The sequence below is a fragment of the Homo sapiens genome, chromosome 7, assembly GCF_000001405.40.
Source record: "Homo sapiens chromosome 7, GRCh38.p14 Primary Assembly".
Taxonomy (NCBI): Eukaryota; Metazoa; Chordata; class Mammalia; order Primates; family Hominidae; genus Homo; species Homo sapiens.
In genome coordinates, this window is record NC_000007.14 from 128,431,458 (window position 1) to 128,435,619 (window position 4,162).

Below are 4,162 nucleotides of genomic sequence, written 5' to 3' on the forward strand. Positions count from 1 at the left end.
GCACCTGCTGAGATCTCCCCCTCCTCCTGGGACAAACAGTGTTATCCCAGCATTTGCATTACTTCCCTGGCTCCGGGCTTTGCTAGTAAAGCAATTACTTACTGCTAAGAGGAAAGACTTTTCCCCATGAGGGCTCCCTTCCACTCTCAAGAGGCAGGGGGCAAGGGTATAAACACACACAGGAGGCGTAACAATGAGAGGGAGTGTGAGAAATAGTTAAAAGCACAGATTCTAGCATCCTAACTTGGACTTGTCCTGATTCTGCCATTTTTGGGGGCTCTGTTATTCTAGGTGAGTTCTTTTTCTCAGAGGCCAGTTTCCTCATTTGTAAAATGGCTAACAATTATGATGGCACTTTTTTTAGGATTACTATGAAAATTAAATGAGACAAAACATGGTACATTCTTAGATGGTGCCTGGCACAGAACAGGAGCTCAGTACACGGCTTTAAAATGTGCCTTTCAGGATAACACTTAATCCTGATGGGTGGAGATTTCACACAAAGTGGAAGGTATGTTTGGGTAGGCAGGTTTTGTATTGCTGCCCACACTATATTGAATAGACTACAGCGTGCTTCCTGCCACCATTTCTGTTTCTTTTCTGGATAAAACAGTCCTAATTAGAGACAAGCTGGGAACTAGGATGCAAATAGCATTTCCTAAAACTCCTAAACATGCCTCAATCAATCCCCATCTCTGTCCACACACAGGAGGTTGCATCTTGGTCCCCTGGAGCCACAGGCCAGGAGCCAACCTGGATGTCTCTTTGTTCCCTTTATATAATAAAAATCAGAGTCTATTGATCTTTTCTAATCATAGACTATAGATTCTTTCCTTCCTCTTTGTCTTTGTTGCCCTTGCCCAAACTACAGTCAAATTCTGGAGGCACCAAAAATCTCAGTGGAGGCAGAAAAGATGAATAAGAGCTCAACAGACAAAGAAAGGGTCATTTCAAGTTTTGAGAACAGTACAAGCAAGGCTCAGAGGCTTCCCATGACATGGTGCTCCGTAGAACAAAATGTAGCTCTGTGTATAGGAACACAGGCCCAAGCAGAACCATATGGCATGATAGCTGGGCACACAAACACGCGGCTACACTGCCTGGGTTTGAATTCCAGCTCCATCACTTATTAGCAAGTTACTTAAATTCTGTGTGTCTCGATCCCTCATCTGCAAAATAGGATCATAATAGTCCCCACCTCTAAGGGTTGTTGGGAGGATTAAATGCTCTGATAGATGGAGAGAACTTAGTATAGTGCTGGGGCATAGTAAGTACCCCATAGATATTACTGTTCCCAATTCATATGTAAGTGTTGGGGCAGCCCATCCTTCACCATTCAACTCCAAGTCCACTTTGCACAGGAAGCTTTCTTCAATTAATCTGAAATGGCTGTCACACATCACCCCAATGTATTCACGCACTCTCATTTGTATCAATGTTTTGTTTTGGCTTTTGGTGTGTGTGTGTGTGTGTGTGTGTGTGTGTGTGTCTCAGGGTCTCACTCCTGTCACCCAGGCTGAAGGACAGTGGCGCAATCATGGCTCACTGCAGCCTGGACTTCCTGGAGTCAGGTGATTTTCCCACCTCAGCCTCCTGAGTAGCTGGCACTATAGGCGCACACCACCATGCCTGGCTAATTTTTGTATTTTTTTTTGTAGAGACAGGGTTTCGCCTTTGCCATGTTGCCCAGGCTGGTCTCAAACTCCTAGGCTCAAGCAATCTGCCCACCTCGGCCTCCCAAAGTGCTGGAATTACAGGCGTAATATTAATGTTTTTACAAATTTATTCTCCAACTCTGGGTTGGGGATTGTCACATCAACAGAGAGGGAAGCTTACTGCAGAAAATTAGGGAGTCGTTTTGTGACACAATGACTCAGTTATGCATTCAACTTTCGGTCAGCAAATATTTATTTATTTATTTTTTAAAACTAGAACATTTGTCACATGACTAGTCACTGAAATTCTTAAGATGAACTGGATGCTGCAACGGCTACCCTCTTGGGTTTAGGTGTGTTCCTTTTCGGAATCTGTGCCTCAGTCTGTGGCAAACAATTTTTAGGTGTCTCATTCAACAAGTTCTGGTGGTATTTCGCCATTTAGCCTTGGCACCCAGTTATATTTCCTCTTGTGTTTGGCAGGGTAGCCACATTTGCCACAGGTCGTCTTCTGGAGGTGGTGGGCCTTAGAGCCACAGTGGTGGCACAATGTGTGTGTCTTACTGTGATGCTTTCCAAACGATGAGATTCCCTTCATCATCTCACTTCTGCAGCTGAGACCAAACAGACTGGAAGATAAGGCACTTCCACTACATCTGGTCAGCAAATATTTATTGAACACTTACTATGCGTCAGACACCATGTTCCTCATGGCTTCCCCTAAAGCTCCATGTAGGAAAATTAAGCATGAGGGTAACTGATTGAAGGGTCTCAGAAAAACAAACCTTTGTGGCTAACATCCCTCCTCCTGGCCACCTGCAAGATTTAGCACTGATTACCCATCTTCAAACCCCTTGTATTAATCTGTTCTCACACCACTATAAAGAACAGCTGGAGACTGGGTAATTTATAAAGAGGTTTAATTGACTCACAGTTCCTCATGGCTGTGGAGGCCTCAGGAAACTTACAATCATGGTGGAAGGGGAAGCAAACACATCCTTCTTCACCTGGTGGCAGCAAGAAGTGTGGGAGAAGCCCCTAAGAAAACCATCAGTTCTCATGAGAACTCACTCACTATTTTGAGAACAGCAGCATGGGGGTAACTGCCCCATGATTCAATTACCTCCCACCAGGTCCCTCTGAGGACACATGGGGATTATGGGAACTACAATTCAAGATGAGATTTGGGTGGGGACACAGCCAACCCATATAATCCCTCTTAAAAATAATGCATTCTATCTAGGCTGCTGTAGCGGTTCACACCTGTAATCCCAGTGCTTTGGGAGGCTGAGGTGGAAGGAACACTTGAGGCTAGGAGTTTGAGACCAGCCTGTGCAACCAAGCAAGACCCTGTCTCTACAAACAAAAAAATTTAATTAGCTGGGCACAGTGGTACGTACCTGTAGTTCCAGCTACTGGGAGTGGGGCAGGGTGCTGACTCAGGAGGATCACTTGAGCCCAGGAGGTTGAAGGTGCAAGCTATGATTGCACCACTGCACTCCAGCCTGGGCAACAGAGAGATACCCTGTCTCTAAAAGTAAGTAAGTAAATACATAAAATAAATAAATAAAGCTGGGTGTGGTGACTCACACATTTAATCCCAACACTTTGGGAGGCCAAGGCAAGAGGATCACTTGAACTTGGAAGTTCAAGACCAGACTGGGTAACACTGAGACCCTGTCTCTATAAATAAAAAAATAAAAAAATTAAAATTAAAAAATACAACTAGTGCATTCTGATTGGGTCAAGGTTCTAATTTACCCAGAGAGGTCATACATCAATTATCTAATAGCATAGGAATTCCATTATCTGATTAACTCATCTTCTGTCTACAGCCATACCACCCTGAATGCCTGATCTTGTCTGATTAACTCATCTTCTGGAGCACATGGATCCATAATGGGCTCCAGTGGGGCTGAGAACACTAGAAATTATCTGCGTTTGTATCTGTACTATTTCCCCCTGGATTCAATTTCAGGCAGTATAGGAACTAGATAATCAGACAGTATTCCCACCTAAAGCATGACAAACATTCCTTTAAATGCATAGCAGAGCTTGAGGGTGGAGGAGGAAGGGAAAGCTACAGGGACAACAAACAAACAAACAAAGCAAAGAAATGAGAACCCTGAAGCTGTGGCTGGATTTGGGTGGGCGGGGACGGGGAGGGGGCTGTTCAGTAATGTTAATAACCAAAGCCTGGCATAAAGCTGGGGCCCATCAACAAAAGGGGGAGAAAGGGAAAATGTATCTGCTTCAGCCATAATTCTGGACCTGAAAAAACATTTCCACTGAGAATTTGCAATCCTGGGCTTCAGGCGTATTTGCAAACAGAATGCATACTGTGCCTGGTATGGGCAAACACAAGATCAAACATGAACAAACATTAGCGGTGGATTGTTAGTTCCTTGAAGAAGCTTTGCGCAAAGCTTCTCTGGAGGAGCTGCAGTTAACCCAGGCTATGTATGATTCCCACACAAAAAGTTTGGACAAGTAAAGCTCAAATGCAA

General features: G+C 44.3%; 1 pseudogene; it reads right to left on the bottom strand.

The window, feature by feature from the left end:
* Positions 1,913 to 2,292, bottom strand: RPL37P16 (ribosomal protein L37 pseudogene 16; annotated as a pseudogene).